The sequence below is a fragment of the Homo sapiens genome, chromosome 22 (assembly GCF_000001405.40).
Source record: "Homo sapiens chromosome 22, GRCh38.p14 Primary Assembly".
In the NCBI taxonomy this organism is placed as follows: domain Eukaryota; kingdom Metazoa; phylum Chordata; class Mammalia; order Primates; family Hominidae; genus Homo; species Homo sapiens.
Window position 1 is genome coordinate 38,570,481 of NC_000022.11, and position 16,371 is coordinate 38,586,851.

General features: G+C 42.3%; 1 protein-coding gene, 1 long non-coding RNA gene and 1 pseudogene across 18 annotated transcripts in view, besides 4 other annotated features; 1 reads left to right on the plus strand and 2 right to left on the minus strand.

Annotated features, from left to right (window-relative positions):
• LOC105373031 (uncharacterized) lies at positions 20-878 on the plus strand. The gene is made up of 2 exons (NR_134627.1): positions 20-114; positions 273-878. It is a non-coding gene; the product is annotated as an uncharacterized LOC105373031 (long non-coding RNA).
• Positions 292-802: an enhancer, noted in NCBI's record as "H3K27ac hESC enhancer chr22:38966777-38967287 (GRCh37/hg19 assembly coordinates)". NCBI's record gives its function as "activates a minimal SCP1, AML or CMV promoter by ChIP-STARR-seq in naive H9 embryonic stem cells {active_cell/tissue: H9 hESC(naive)}" and the evidence as "EXISTENCE:reporter gene assay evidence [ECO:0000049][PMID:30033119]".
• Positions 389-438: an enhancer, noted in NCBI's record as "active region_19013". NCBI's record gives its function as "activates an Ori minimal core promoter by ATAC-STARR-seq in GM12878 lymphoblastoid cells {active_cell/tissue: GM12878}" and the evidence as "EXISTENCE:reporter gene assay evidence [ECO:0000049][PMID:35858748]".
• On the minus strand, positions 4,451-4,951 carry RPS29P31 (ribosomal protein S29 pseudogene 31; annotated as a pseudogene).
• Positions 7,638-16,371, minus strand: part of FAM227A (family with sequence similarity 227 member A) — a 78,275-nt gene continuing 69,541 nt past the window's right edge. For 10 of the 17 annotated variants that reach the window (XM_011530311.2, XM_047441456.1, XM_011530310.2 and 7 more), the window contains 2 exons: positions 15,585-15,719; positions 11,689-12,437 (listed from right to left, as the gene is read on the minus strand). In XM_011530311.2, coding sequence (XP_011528613.1) covers positions 12,230-12,437; positions 15,585-15,719 — 343 coding nt within the window. In that variant the 3' untranslated portion in view covers positions 11,689-12,229. Of the gene's footprint in view, positions 15,720-16,371 lie in introns of all 17 variants that reach the window. The other 7 variants (NM_001384271.1, NM_001013647.2, NM_001291030.2 and 4 more) reach the window with 3 other exon arrangements.
• Positions 12,537-12,586: an enhancer, noted in NCBI's record as "active region_19014". NCBI's record gives its function as "activates an Ori minimal core promoter by ATAC-STARR-seq in GM12878 lymphoblastoid cells {active_cell/tissue: GM12878}" and the evidence as "EXISTENCE:reporter gene assay evidence [ECO:0000049][PMID:35858748]".
• Positions 15,131-15,331: a silencer, noted in NCBI's record as "peak4492 fragment used in MPRA reporter construct". NCBI's record gives its function as "represses an SCP1 promoter by STARR-seq MPRAs in K562 erythroleukemia cells {active_cell/tissue: K562}" and the evidence as "EXISTENCE:reporter gene assay evidence [ECO:0000049][PMID:32103011]".

Sequence of the window (16,371 nt, forward strand, 5' to 3'; positions counted from 1 at the left end):
AAGGAGCGCGCTGAGGAGCGGGGCCTTGAAGGGAGACCGTTGAGCTGGGGCGTCCCTCGAGCTGAGCACCTCGCTAAAGTCCGGGAGAAGACCCTGAGGCGGGGTTCTGAGGAGGTAGCCTTGAGTCGGGGGAGGGGCGATGAGCAGAGGTGGCTGACTTTGGCGATAGGTCTTGGTCGCGAGGGTTGCAGATGGAGCCTTGGCTTAGAAGGTCGAATCCGGGCCCGTTTCCCCCCGCCCCCGCTGCCCATGGCTTCTCTTTTCACCTCCAGGTTTTCATGCTGGCTTCAGAGTTTGGCCGTGCTCCCTCAGCGTTCCTAATTTCCCACTTTCTGACTCTCACCATTTGCCACTCTTGTCTGTGATTGAGACACCCGAGGCCCATTCAGGATGGAGAGTAATTTTTTCTCTGTCTTAACTTGAAGTTTTAAATAGACCACAGACGCCAAGTATATTTTGGTTCAGCTTTTAAATAGAAGTCGCAGGCCAGCCTTCGTGCCAGCAGCGCCATCGCTGGCAGCATCCTCCTCCTCCCCTCACGCGGAGACTGACTTGGGGAGAGTCAGGAAACATTTGAGAGAGCAGCTGCCGAGGTGGAGGCTGTGATGTATCTTGGATGAATCTCTGTGCAAACAGTTCTTTGGGTTCAAGACCTAGTACAGGGCGATCCTTTTTGTTTTTTCTGTCTGAATCATTTTGGTGGAATAAATAGCAAAACATTCCCACAATAGCAGTTGGCATTTTGTGTAGGACGCACCCCCCCAACAGGTGGATTGTTTTAAGAGCCAACAAATAACTGCCATTGTGCTTCCAAATCTGTTATTTTCCCCCAAACACAGTCGTCCTTGTTATATGGAGATGAATGCCCATTTGGGGGAGGAACTGGATAGTGGTGAAAGGCTTTCGCTCTGAGGCCTCACCTAAATAATTATGGGAACTTTTGAGCAACTCGTTAGGTGAAGACATCAACAGTCTACAGAAGAGCTGCAAAGAGCACAGCAAGATGATTTAGGGAAATATAACATATGTAGTTTGGTGTAGTGACAGCTGGGAGAGAGAAATGTTCATAATATTTGAAGGTTGTGTGCAGTACACTTAAAAAAACTAAAATGAGCTGGGTAATGACAAATTCATGAAGGGAGGAGAAAAATCTTATCTGGGTATCATATCGATGGTTAGAGACAACTTTTAAGATATTTAAAACAACAACAAACTCTAGGACAGTTAAAAAGTGCACATGAAGACTTTCCACTAAAATCGGAACCAAAAAAATTGTCTTTCGTATCATACAAAAACTCTGAATATCATGAAGGTGGCATTTCACATCAGTGGAGAAATGATGAATTCAGTGAATAGTGTTAGAACAACTAGGTAACCATCTGGAAGAAAAATAAAATTGGAACCACACTTTACACATTATACCAAAATAAATTCCAGACAGATCAAAAAATTAAATCTGAACAATAAAATAATAAAAGTACTAGAAGAAAATATGGGATATTTAAAATTACTTTGTAATAAGAAACATCTTTTTAAGTATGCTACAAAACTCAGAAGCCATGAAAGATTGTTAAGTATGCTTATATTTAAAAAAATATATCCTGCATGGCAAAATGGTACTTTCCTATCCACAATATAGAACATGGCAAACCAGAGCTTTTGTGTCAATTATTAACTGGATAATATAGCTTGCCTAATTTTTCAAATCCTTCAGGAAGTCCACAATTTCTCTACACAATTTTAAAATTTTGTGTCTTTTTATGATATTTTTAGAAATAAAAAAATAGGCAGTGGGATTATAGTTAAGACCTGAATTTTAAACTATTACACTTTACTGCCCCTCCGTGGACAGTCACCTTATAACCAAATAGAGGCACAGGATTCCAGCGCGTATAGTTGGGCTTCTACAAAGTGATGCTTGCTGATACATATTCTTGAAATTTCAAGAGCTTGAATTTGAGAAATGCTTTAGTAGAGAACTAAAGAATGAAGGCTCATCACGTACAAATTTCACTGGGTAGAATTCCCCTTAAAAATATTTGTTTGTTTTGTTTTGCTTTTTGTTTTTGAGTCAGGGTCTCCCTCTGTCACCCAGGCTAGAGTACAGTGGTAAGTAAGATCTTGGCTCACAGCAGCCTCAATCTCCCGGGCTCAAGCGATCCTCCCACCTCAGCCTCCTGAGTAGCTGGCACTACAGGCACAAGCCACCACACCCAGCTAATTTTTTGGTATTTTTTTTGTAGAGATGTGATTTCACCATGTTGCCCTGGTCTCAAACTTCTGGGCTCAAGTGATCCTCCCATCTCAGCCTCCCAGAGTGCTGGGCTTACAGGCGTGAGCCACTGCATCCAGCAGTGTTCCATTTCTTTATCTCCAATTTCAAATAATTTCCCTTTAAGAATAAGGTACTTGTAGCCTATTGCTGAGACCTGTACCTCTTAGTGGCTCTTCCCCTGGCTACATAAAGGTTTAAAATGACTGCTGTTTGTAAAGAGTCGATTAAAATTTTAACCTAGGGTCTTACATTATTCACCTCCAGTTACAAGAAGGAATACGGGGTACCATAGGAACACATGGGAGGGACATCTTATTCAGTTTGTGGGTAAGTGGGGAACATGGCATTTAGAGGCTGACACCCATGAGTAATTCATTAGTCAGGTAATAAGAGGGAACCAGTACTAACTTAAGAGAGTGCATTTAGCTGGAGCTCAATACTTATTTGTAGAATGAATGACTAGTAAAACACCTCTTACATTCGCCAAACTTTCTCTTTTTTTCTCAGTATTCTAGTTCCATCAATCTTGTCATGCTTTTTTTCTTACACTTCTAGTTTATATAGACATTTCAAATACTGTGTTTCTTGCCTCAGCAGAGGGAATATTCTGAAAGATACTAATTCTGCAGTGTGTGGATTTGCATTAACCTAAAGGGGTTTAGTATAGATTTACTGGAAAGAAAAAAAATCTGTAGGATTATGAACCAAAAAATAAAAAACCAAAGTTCCCATCTTTATTCAAAGCATTGATTAGCAAAAATAAAAGGCAAAAGTTGTATATATTTTTGCATATCTACTTCTTTCTTTCTTTTTTTTTTTTTTGAGGCAGAGTCTCACTCTGTCACCAGCCTGGAGTGCAGTAGCGTGATCTCAGTTCACTGCAACCTCTGACTCCCTCGTTCAAGCGATTCTCCTGACTCAGCCTCCTGAGTAGCTGGGATTACAGGCACATGCCACCACATCCAGCTAATTTTTGTATTTTTTGTAGAGACAGGGTTTCACCATGTTGGCCAGGATGGTCTTGATCTCCTGACCTCGTGATCTGCCCACCTCGGCCTCCCAAAGTGCTGGGTTTACAGGTGTGAGCCACCACACCTGGCCGCATATCTGTTTATTTCTGATCCTACTTTTCAGTCACCTAATAAGCATTTTTCCATGTCTTAAGCATAATTTTAAATGATTGCATAATATTCCATTGAATGTATTATTAACAAATTCCCTGTTATTGGACATTACTAATTAGTGTCAGCATCTTTTTGCATTGTTTGTTTTTTAGGATTACTTTTATTTATTTATAATAAAAAAATAGAGATGGGGTCTCGCTACGTTGCCAAGGCTGGTCTTGAACTCCTGGGCTCAAGCAATCCTCTCACATTGGCCTCCCAAAGTGCTGGGATTACAAGCATGAGCCACTGCACCCGGCTGAGGATCACTTTTCTTAGGGTAGATTTCTGGATTTATAATCATTGATTGAAAGGCTGTGGACAATTTTAAGGCTATTGATAAATATTTAAAGCTCATGGAAATATTTGGTTGTACTAGTTTCCATTTTCTAGTTTCCATTTACCAGCAGAGAAAGAGTTGGTTATTTCATAGCTGTCACAGAGCTTACAGTCTAGTAGGAAAGATAGATTTTATACAAAGAACTATATAAGCAGAATTGTGAAAAATGCATTAAGGGAAAAATAGTGTGCACTGTGCTAAGCACACAGATAGAAAGGTGACTAAGTCTCTGCTGTGGAAAGCAACAGTGCTTGGGAGAGGCAGACCGATAAACAGGTTGTTCCTTTAAAAAAATTGTTTTAGGCCAGTTGCAGTAGCTCACGCATGGAATCCCAGCACTTCAGGAGGCCAAGGCAGGCGGATCACGAGGTCAGGAGTTCGAGACCATCCTGGCCAACATGGTGAAACCCCGTCTCTACTAAAAATACAAAAATTAGCTGGGTGTCGTGGAGCGTGGCTGTCATCCCAGCTATTCGGGAGGCTGAGGCAGGAGAATCGCTTGAACCAGGGAGTCGGAGGTTGCAGTGAGCCGAGATCGCGCCACTGCACTCCAGCCTGGATGACAGAGTGAGACTCCGTCTCAAAAAAAAAATTTTAAATTTTTATTTTATGTAAAAAGATTTTTTCTTTCATTGAGTGGATGCCCTGGATAATCTATTCAAGGAAGATCACTTAGTCCAACTTAATGAAACCTATATCCTTCGCGTACTGACTGGCAGCACACATTAAGGCCATATTTCCTTTTCTTTTCTTTTCGTTTTCTTTTCTTTTTTTTTTTTTTTTTGAGATGGAGTCTCGCTCTGTTGCCCAGGCTGGAGTGCAGTGGTGCCATCTCAGCTCACTGCAACCTCCACCTTCTGGGTTCAAGTGATTCTCCTGCCTCAACCTCCTGAGTAGCTGGGATTACAGGGGCCTGCCACCATGCCGGCTAATTTCTGTATTTTTAGTAGAGACAGGGTTTCGCCATGTTAGCCAGGCTGGTTTGGAACTCTTGACCTCAAGTAATCTGCCCGCCTCAGCCTCCCAAAGTGCTGGGATTACAGGCGTGAGCCACCGCACCCGGCTGAGGCCATATTTCTGAATCAGACCTTGCTGGTTTGAGCAGACGTGACAAAAGCACCAACACTGGCCACATTTTCTTGGGTGGCTCCAGTAGAGCTGCTGGTGACCTATCTTGCTTTCAGTAGTACAAGGAAGAAAAAGGCATAAACAGGTCATTCTAAGTGTTGTGATTGACAGTTGATACTCACTTCAGTCTTAGTCTGTCCTTGCTTTTTTTTTAAATCACGTTTTCTTCTCTTGCACCTTTTAAATTTCATAAATATTGTTTATTTAACTATAATCCAATATACCACAGCCAGGTGGCTAAATGTCCTGTTTTTGCTCACATACTACCAATTTCTGTTCACCTACTTGAGTACTGTTCTGAGAAAAAAATCAGACTCCATGCAAGTTCTAGAAAAATCTATCCAGGTTCTAGATAAATGAAATGTCAGGGCAAAAACTTGACTTATTGTTGGGTGCAATGGCGTGTATTTGTAGTCCCAGCTACTCGGGAGGCTGAGGCAGGAGAATCGCTTGAACCCATGAGGTGGAGGTTGCAGTGAGCCAAGAGTCCATCTCAAAAAAAAAAAAAAAAGGCCGGGCATGGTGGCTCATGCCTGTAATCCCAGCACTTTGGGAGGCTGAGGCGGGTGGATCACAAGGTCAGGAGATCGAGACCATCCTGGCTAACAGGGTGAAACCCCATCTCTACTAAAAATGCAAAAATTAGCCAGGCGTGATGGTGGGCGCCTGTAATCAGTTACTCAGGAGGCTGAGGCAGGAGAATCACTTGAACCCGGGAGGTGGAGGTTGCAGTGAGTTAAGATCGCACCATTGCACTCATAAGGGTATAAACTCATAAGGATATAAAGAAAGAAAATATTGTTGTATAGTTGTACAATGTGTGTTTTAAGCTACTCCAAAAGAGTTTAAAAGTTTAAAAAAATTAAAGTTTATAAAGTAAAAAAGTTACAATAAGCTAAGGTTAATTTATCATTAAAGAAAAATATTTTTGTATAAATTTCGTGTAACCTAAGTGTACAATGCTTATAAAGTCTATAGTAGTGTAATGTCCTAGGTCTTCACACTCACTCACCACTCACTCACTGACTCACCCAGAGCAACTTCCAGATCCATTTATTATAAATGCCCATTTATTATAAGCTCCATTTATTCTAAGTACCCTATGTAGTTGTACTATTTTTTATCTTTTATACTATATTTTTACTGTACCTTTTTTATGTTTAGATATGTTCAGACACACAAACATTTACCATGGTGTGATAGTTGCCTACATTATTCAGTACAGTAACATGCTGTACAGGCTTGTAGCGTAGGAGCAATAGGCTATCCCACATAGCCTAGGCCTGCAGTCAGGTATAACATAGAGTGTACTAGGTCTGTGTAAGTACACTCTATACTGTTCACATGATGACCAAATCACCCAATAATGCATTTCTCAGAGCATATCCCCATGGTTTAAGTGACACATGACTGTGTGTATATATATATGTAAATATATATACACATATAATATACATAATATACAGTATTTAATACATAAAACATTTATATATAACTTTTATGTGTACGTATAACCCACAAAATATGTATAAAACACATACATGTTTATATTTATGTATATATAAAATAATCCTTTTGGGCTTTGTCATTTATTGTCTATCTTATAGAAGTATGTTATATCTCAATATATTAAAAGTTTATGTAAATGGTTATTTATAAAAGAAGTTTAAGCTAAACCAGAAATTCATTTGTGCCTAGATATTTGTACTTCTTTAAATCTTGTTCCAGGTAATGTGTTCCTTTAAAGGCTGTATGTAAATGAAAATATTTACTATTTTTTTTTTTTTTTTTTTGAGATGAAGTCTCACTCTGTCGCCAATCTGTAGTGCAGTGGTGTGATCTCGGCTCACTGCAACCTCCGCCTCCTGGGTTCAAGTGATTCTCCTGCCTCAGCCTCCTGAGTAGCTGGGATTACAGGCGTGCGCCACCATGCCCGGCTAATTTTTGCATTTTTAGTAGAGATGGGGTTTCACCATGTTAGCCAGGATGGTCTCGATCTCCTGAACTCGTGATCCGCCCGCCTTGGCCTCCCAAAGTGCTGGGATTACAGGCATGAGCTACCACGCCTGGCCTTTTTTTTTTTTTTTTTTGAGATGGAGTCTTGCTTTGTCACCCAGACTAGAGTACAGTGGCGCTATCTTGGCTCACTGCAACCTCTGCCTCCCAGGTTCATGCAATTCTCCTGCCTCAGCCTCCCAAGTAGCTGGGATTACAGGTGCATGCCACCACGCCCGGCTAATTTTTGTATTTTTAGTAGAGACAGGGTTTCACCATGTTGGCCAGGCTGGTCTCGAACTTCTGACCTCAAGTGAACCACCTGCCTCGGCCTCCCAAATTGCTGGGATTACAGACGTGAGCCACCGTGCCCGGCCAATTTTTTTTTTTTTTTTTTACCTAAAATTTATTTGGTTAACGATGAAGACACAAACACACACAGTAGCCTAGGCCTACACAGGGTCAGGATCATTAATATCACTGTCTTCCACTTCCACATCTTTGTCCCACTGGAAGGTCTCTGCGGCAATTACATGCATGCAGCAGTCATCACCTATGATAACAATGCCTTCTTCTGGAATACCTCCTGAAGGACCTACCTGAGGCTGTTTTACAGTTAACATTTTTTTTAATAAATAGGAGTACACCATAAAATAATGATAAAAACTATAAGATAGTAAATACATAAACCATAGCTAAAGAACACTGAAAATTAAATAATGAAATAAATAAAACATAAACCAGTAACAGTCATTTATTACCATTACCCCAGTATTGTGTACTATATTTTATATGACTGGCAGGCAACACAGTACATTTGTTCACACCAACATCACCACAAACACGTGACTAATGCGTTACGCTATGACATTACGAAGGCTAAGAGTCGCTAGGTGATAGGAATTGTTTAGTTCCATTATAATCTTATGGGACCACCGTCATATATTCAGTCAGCTGCTGACTGAAACATCGTTACGTGGTGCATGACTGTGTGTATGTATACACACACATACATGTATATTTAATAGTCATTTTGGGCTTTCTCATTTTTTCAGTCCAAATTTGAAAAACTTTTTAACTTCAGCACATAGGTGTCCAAGAGAGGCTTGCTATGACAGTTTATTTTACTAGCATTTATTCAACACTGCTCAATTCCACGTCTCTGCTGGATATAAAGACAGGTAGGTACCTGCCCTCAAGGAGCCATGAGTCTAGTAGAGAAGACAATGCAGAAAGAGATAATCACCACACAAGGCAGGATGAGAGGGATTAGACATGCAGCTGGGAACCAAGCAGAGGCTCTCTCTGGGGTTGCGGGGATGGTGGCCCTTAGCTTGGGGCTGGATCAGTGAGGATTTGTCAATCGGGCAGGGCGGGAAAGGCAGAAGGAACACAGAGGCTTATTTGGGGAACTGCAAGTGGTTCTGGTGGAGGATTTTAATTTCAAAATTAAAGGAGAGAGGCCAAAAGGAACGAGTATTTGTTGAACACCCAATAATGATCATGATAGCCAGTACATGCTGCACTTACCATGTGTCAGGCACTGTTCTAAGTGCCTCCCACAGATTCATGCATCCACTCCTCACACAGACACCATGAGGCACAACAATTATCACCCCTATTTACACGATGGAACTGGGGCACCAGGAGGTTAAGTAACTTGCCTGAGGCTCACAGTCTGGCTCCAGTGACCATGCTCTTAACTGACATGCTAAACCACTATATGGCAGGCTTGTATATTCATATCTTGACTTTATTTTCCTGTCATAAGTACACATAGGAGCAGCAACTAAGCCAGACATAGAGCACACTTCAGCCATTCACTAGCTGTGTGGTCTTGGGAAAATTATTTAACCTCTCTGTGCCTGAGTTTCGGTATCTGAAAACCAAGAATAATATCGGCGCTGAGTTGTGAGAATTAAATGGGTTAATACACATGAAGTATGTGGGCTCCTGTGTGGAGAACTGATTGGAGGGGCAAGAGAAAGGGCAAAGAGAATGCTAGGAGAATATTGTATAACAGAAGTCCCAAGCCAGGAGTAATGGTGCTTTAAACAAGAAGAGCCTCAATTTGAAAATGGGGGAAATTGTACCTCATTCACAGGGCTTTAGTGAGACCACAATGAAAGTGTGTAAAATATGCTTAGAAGTGTCCATGGTAGATGCCTTTAATTTTAAAAATTATGGCTAAAATCAAATATGCACAAAAGTAAAACAGTATAATATTCCCATCACCCATCTTCAACAATTTTCAACACATGGTCAATCTTGTTTCACCTATACCTCCATCCACTTTCTCTCTCCCATATTATTTGAGTACAAATTCCATAAATCTTGTAATTCCATCTGTGAATATTTCAGTATATATCTCTAAAATGTGATAACTCTTTAAAAAATATAACCATAATGCTATTATCACGCCTAGAATAATTTTATATATAAAATATTTAAGATTCAGATATCCATTTGTCTCATAAATGCCACATTTTGTTTCAATGGGATCCAAATAATGTCCACATGTTGTAATTGATTGATGTCTTTTTTTTTTCTTTTTAGAGATGTGGTCTCATTCTGTCACCTAGGCTGGAGTGTGCAGTGGCATGATCATAGCTCACTGCACCCTCCAACTCCCAGGCTTAAGCAATTCTCCCACGTCAGCCTCCCAAGTAGCTAGGACTACAGGCGTATGCCACCTTGCTCTGCTAATTTTTACTTTTTTTGTAGAGACAAGGTCTCACTATGTTACCCGGTTTGGTCTCACCTCCTGGGCTCTAGGGGTTCTTCCACCTTGGCCTCCTAAAGTGCTGGGATTACAGGCATGGGCCACCATGCTCGGCAACCGATGTCCTCTTTTAAGTCTCTTTTAATCTATATATTCCCCCTCTCTTTTTCCCTTGAAACTTATTTGTTGAAAAAAATGAAGTCATTTGCCCTGGAGTTTTCCATGGCCTGGATTTTGCTGATTGCATCCCCTAGGTGTCATTTACCATTTGCCATGATGTCCCCATCCTCTGTATTTCCTGTTATGGTGGTTGGATCTAGAGTTCAGATCACATTCAAGTTTACTTATTTGTAAGACTATTTGATAGGTGGTCTTATGGTCTAGTATCAAAAGGCATTTAATAGCTGTTTGTCTTTTGTGATGTAAGCAGCCATGGATAATCAACCTAGATCCATTAATTCATTAGGGGTTTCAAAATGGTGATATTTTAAGTCTATCATTATTTCTGAATTTATTAGGTGGATTGTTTCTAAAGACAAGTTTCTGTTCCACTACTATTTGGTTACCTGGTAATACAGTTCATATGGGAATGGCATGATAAATGCTTATTCATTTACTTACCAATTTTCAAAATAATGAGGAAGTTTCCTAGTATCCAATTAGTTTCCTCCTTTCCCCTTTCCTTTTTTATCTTTGAGACAGTCTCACTCCATCACCTAGGCTGGAGTGCAGTGGTGCGATCTCAGCTCACTGTAACCTCCGCCTCCCAAGTTCAAGTGATTCTTGTGTCTCGGCCTCCCGAATAGCTAGGATTCCAGGCATGCACCACCACGCCTGGCTGATTTTTGTATTTTTAGTAGAGACGGGATTTTGCCTTGTTGGCCAGGCTGGTCTCAAACTCCTGACCTCAGGTGATCTGCCCACCTCGGCCTCCCAAAGTGCTGGGATTACAGGCGTGAGCCACCGCGTCCAGACACCAATCCGTTTTTTAAAAGTCACAATATGAACTTACAGGTGAGAACACGTTTGACGTGCTTCAAATATGGCAATTATTATTAATGCCCAAATGGTCCTCTCTTTTAGCTAATGGGATTGTCTCTAAGTTTGCTCCCAAGTCTTTCTGACAGGATCCTTGTCTTTGATAGCTTCCTTGGTGTTAAGTGTGATAAGATGTTTCAGGTCTCATGATTTTCCTGCCCTAGACCTGGAACTGATCATTTCTTCAAGGATCCCTAGATCCTTTTAGGGCAAATAGTATTTCAAGACCACAGTCTGGGTCACTGCTGCCGGGTCAGTCTTTATTTCTAGGTCATTTCAGTGGACAGAGTTTTAGGAAATATATACACATATTTTTGAGACAGAGTCTCACTGTGTTGTCCAGGCTGGAGTGCAGTGGCATGATCTTGGCTCACTGTAACCTCCGCTTCCTGGGTTCAAGCAATTCTCCTGCCTCAGCCTTGCGAGTACCCGGGACTACAGGCAGCTGCCACCACACCCGGCTAATTTTGCATTTTGAGTAGAGACAGGATTTCGCCATGTTGGTCAGGCTGGTCTCAAACTACTGGTCTCAGGCAATCCACCCGCCTCGGCCTCCCAAAGTGCTGAGATTACAGGCGTTAGCCACCGCACCTGGCTCAGGTTTTTTTTTTTTTTTTTCCCAGACACAGTCTTGCTCTATCATCCAGGCTGAGTCTAGTAGCACAATCACAGCTCATGGCAGCCTTAAGCTCCCAGGCTCAAGCGATCCTCCCACCTCAGCCTCCCTAGTAGCTAGGACTATAGGTATGCACTACCACATCGGACTAATTTTTTATGTTTTTGTAGAGGCAAGGTCTCACTATGTTGTCCTGTTTGGTCTCAAACTCCTGGCCTCAAGCAATCCTCTTGCCTTGGCCTTCCAAAGTGCTGGGATTACAGGTGTGAGCCACCATGCCTGGCCTGTTCGTTTTTTAACAAAGCTTTATCGAAGTATAATTGACATATGAGAAACTGCACACATTTAAAGTGTATTTAGGTGTGTATACACCCATGAGCCATTCACCACAATCAAGATAGTAGACATATCTGTCACCCCCAAAAGTTTATTTGGGCCTCTTTGTAACCCCTTCCAGCTTCCCTCCTATCCCCTCTCCAGCTATCCCTCCTGTTCTTCAGGAAACTGTATGTTCTAAAACATACATTTCATCATCAATTCATAAGCAATTCAAAATCAGGACTATAGGATTTTAACTTCATCTCTTCTAGTTTAACATCTGAATTTATCTTCTTCCATGCTGAGAGTATGGGTTTTCAGCAACACTGGGAATGACAGAATTAGAATATCATACAATTACTCATTTGCTTTATCCCACATTACAGCAAATGCTTTTTAAATGTTAGTTCCCTTTGATGCTCTACCCCGCTTCCCTTATAAAGGGCAAATAATTCTTCCCCATAATTTTCCCTTCTAATGTTTACAAAGGGCAGAGACAGGTTTCTTCATATTTAACATCCTGAGAGGCTACAACTCTGAGTCCTCAGTCATTTCTGGAAAGGGTCCATGCAGGGATGATCTTGGACTGTGCAACAAATGGTCCTGACAGACAGAAATGCAGTTTGTCCTGGGCTTAGAAAATAAGGAGACCTTCTTGCTGTATGGGGGCTAATAGTAGCGGTGGATAGGTAGACAGGCAATTCCAATCTACTATGGTAACTGCTGCCATAATGGGATGGCACAGAATGCTGTTGGAGCATAATGCAGTGGAGCACTTGTGCCTACCTTGCTCCTGGTATATTAGGGAAGGCTCCCAAGATGAGGGACGTCTAAGCGGGGTCCTGGAGGAAGAGCAGGAATTAGTGATGTTGGCAGTTAACAAAGAGGAGGGAGGAGAAGGCATTTTCAGGTCCAGAAGCAGCAACAGACAAAAGATCCAGAAATAGGAAAGTGTGGTTCCTAGAGAAACTGCAAATGAAGAGTTGACAGTGGCTGGGGTAGTAAAGGGAAGGTGAGAGAGTGTTCTGCTTATCTGCCCCACATGGTGCCTTGTACTCGGCAGGTGCTCACACGTTCTGGTTTCAGAAGACTATACTTTTTTTTTTTTTTTTTTGAGATGGAGTTTCACTCTTGTTACCCAGGCTGGAGTGCAATGGTGCAATCTCAGCTCACTGCATCCTCCACCTCCCGGGTTCAAGTGATTCTCCTGCCTCAGCCTCCTGAGTAGCTGAGGTTACAGGCACCTGCCATTGTGCCCGGCTAATTTTTTTGTATTTTTAGTAGAGATGGAGTTTCGCCACGTTGGCCAGGCTGGTCTCAAACTCCTGACCTCAGGCGATCCACCTGCCTTGGCCTCCCAAAGTGCTGGGATTACAGGCATGAGCCACTGCACCCGGCCAAGAAGAGTACACTTTATAACAGCAATAACAACAATAACAGCTTGTGGCAATTACAAAGTGAAAAGTACTGTGCCAAGAACTTTGCACAAATTATCTCATCTAATCCTCACAACAACCCTCCTAGGCAGGCATTCCCTTTCTGCAGTCAAGAAAGCACGTTCAGAAAGGTCAAGATGCACAGCTACTATGCTGAGTCACACATCCATATGGTGAAGCAGGGCAGGGATTCAAAGGCCCAAATTTTCTCATGCCAAAGCCTAAGCTCCTTCTCTCTTACCTTTCCTTCATCCCCTTTTACATGAGTAATAGCCTCCAAGGGGGTCACCTAGAGTTCTACTCAGGATTCAAGTAAAGATGTGTGTCTGAGGGATGAGCTACATTTCCCAAGATCTGCTTATCTGCTGCTTGGTTTGGGCAAACAGCCATCTGCACCATTTCTTTCCTCTTGGCTGTGACAGGTGAACTGTTCTAGCACAGACCAGGTCACTGCCTTGTGCCTTGAAGCTCAAATGATAAAACCTATGCCCTTCAGCCCAGCTGCTGGTCCTTTGGCAAACCAACCCCTGTGCCTGTGCCCCTCAGTGAAATATCTTCTGTCCCAAAGGGCTGCTGGCACACTGGCTTCATCTGCCTTGGTTTTTCTCAGATTCCACGCAGCTTTCTATCGGAGCATTAATGCATTTATTGGTTTACACATCCTTCTCTTTTTTCCAGATTGTGAGCCCCATAAGGTCAGGGACTGTGTCTTTATTTATCTCTGTATTCACAGGGCCTAGTGCAGGGATGGTACAGAATAGACATCTAGCAAATACCTAATCATCCCCCCCAAGTCCGTTTCTTCCTAGGAGAAAATGGAGGTAACAATATCCATCTTGGGGGACACCAGGAAGGTTAACTGAGATAATGTCTAAACCAGACTTAGCAGAGCACTCAGCACATACTAAGTACTCAATAAATGACATCACCTATGATTACTATTATTATGTTATACAATATTAGATACTCCAGGCCAGGTGTGGTGGCTCACACTTAGAATCCCAGTGCTTTGGAAGGACAAGGCAGGAGGATTACTTGAAGCCAGGAGTTCGAGACCAGCCTGGGCAACACAGTGAGATCCCATCTCTACAAAAAAATTTCTTTAAAAATTAGCCAGACATGGTGGCATACCTGTAGTCCTAGCTACTTGGGAGGCTGAGGTGGGAGGATTGCTTCAGCCCAGGAATTTGAGGTTGCAGTGAGCTATGACTGCGCCACTGCATTCCAGCCTGGACAACAGACTGAGAGTCTGCCTCTAAAAAATTTAATTTAGTTAAAATTAATTAAAAAAAATTTTTTTTTGAGACAGAGTTTCGCTCTTGTTGCCCAGGCTGGAGTGCAATAGCATGGTCTTGGCTCACTGCAACCTCCGCCACCTGGGTTCCAACGATTCTTCTGCCTCAGCCTCCCGAGTAGCTGGGATTACAGGTGCCCGCCACAACATCCAGCTAATTTTTGTATTTTTAGTAGAGATGGGGTTTCACCATGTTGGCCAGGATGGTCTCGAACTCCTGACCTCGTGATCTGCCCACTTCAGCCTCCCAAAGTGCTGGGATTACAGGTGTGAGCCACCACGCCTGGCCTAATTTAAAATTTTTTAATTAAAAAAATTAATTTACATTTAAATCCTGACTTTTGCTATGGTAGGAATGAACTTTACTATTCCTTGTCTCATGAACTGGGAGTGACTAAATGTGTCCCTAGTTGCAGTATTATTTTTTGTTTTCTTATTTCTATTTTAGATTAAATCAGACAACATGTGCATGCTTTACCTATAAAGTTTCTCTCAATTCTTGGACAAAGATTCACTCAAATGAGCTGGAAGGTGAGAGGTTAAGAAGGCAGAAGCCTGGGAGTCACACAGAAACACATTACAGATGTCATGTCCCTGGGCTGAGTTTAGAAAAGACAAGATGTTTGCCAGGCAGAAAGAGGGCATATTGGAAATAGGCTGGCAATCCCAGTGGTTAGAGGAGCAGGAGGCAAAGGTTCAGAGGCAGCATAATAGAAGCGCCTATCAAATTATCAAATTAATAGTTCCACAAAGCTTGTTACAAAAAATTGCACTCCTCTAGGCCCATTTTCCTTTTCCCTCACAACACTTTTCTCTTTTTCCTCTGTCCAATACTTACAGCATTTAATGTGTTGATACATCTGTCTTCCCTCTACCAGATGGTGACTCCCTTGAGAACAGGGACTGTGTCTTATCTACTGTTAATTACCCAGTGTCTACAGCAGAGAACTTCGGAAACCTTTCTAAACCTGGGCTTGCTGCTGCGTAAAATGCAGTGGATAATCCCTACTTCATACGGCTGGTATGAAAGTTTTACCTTTGTATGAGGTCATATTTGTAACATACTTACCAGCATGCACGTAATAAAATACTGAAAGAGTAAATCTATGAATAAATGTAGTGACCCAAGCACCAACTCTCTACTCCTGCTTTTCACTCAGCCTAGGAAAAACTACAACGGAATCCTTCCCCTATGGAGAAATCATGATTCCTATTTCTGTCTTTGGCCACAATTTTCTTATTTTCTTGTTCCACTCCACCTCGTAGCAGAAATATCACGGATTCTGTAGGCGCTTCCTGGTTCTAGGTTGTGGAGCTCCTCAGGGCTTGGAAGTGAGTGGAAAGAAATGTTCAACTTCTGTTTCTCTTCTCTTTCCCTCTCCTCCTTTCCCCTCCTGTGGGGGAAACAAACGAACAAAAACAAAAATTAATTTAAAAAATGTAATTTCTTCAAAGACTTTGCACGTGAGCAGTGGCGTGGCCAGTGGTGATCCTTGTGTGCATGGAATATTGAGGGCGTGCTCCTGCCTCCAGAGAAAGTGGTCGAGCAGGACAGCTGGCATCCACGGCTTCCACATCCCCAGTGCCTCCATCCTTCATCTTTCACCAGTACTGACAGGAACACTGCTGTGTCGGATCTGAACTGGGCCCCAAAAACCTCTAGGTAGCAGGCAGGTACTACTCCATTGGAGGTGACATCCCTCTGGTGACGCTGAAAACCTGGATTGTGTTTTCTAACTCTGTCTATCTGCTTCACACCTCCAGATGTGAATCTTCAGAATATTATTTGCTGGGCTATGGGATGGAGACTAGTCTCACAAGCCTAAAGGACTTCCTTTAATATTTCACGAAAGCATTACATTTATTTTTTTCTTTCTTTTTTGGGACGGAGTATCGCTCTGTTGCCAGGCTGGAGTGCAGTGGCGCGATCTCAGCTCACTGCAACCTCTGACTCCCGGGTTCAAGTGATTTTCCTGCCTCAGCTTCTCAAGTAGCTGGGATTATAGGCATGCACCACCATGCCCAGCTAATTTGTTTTTTGTATTT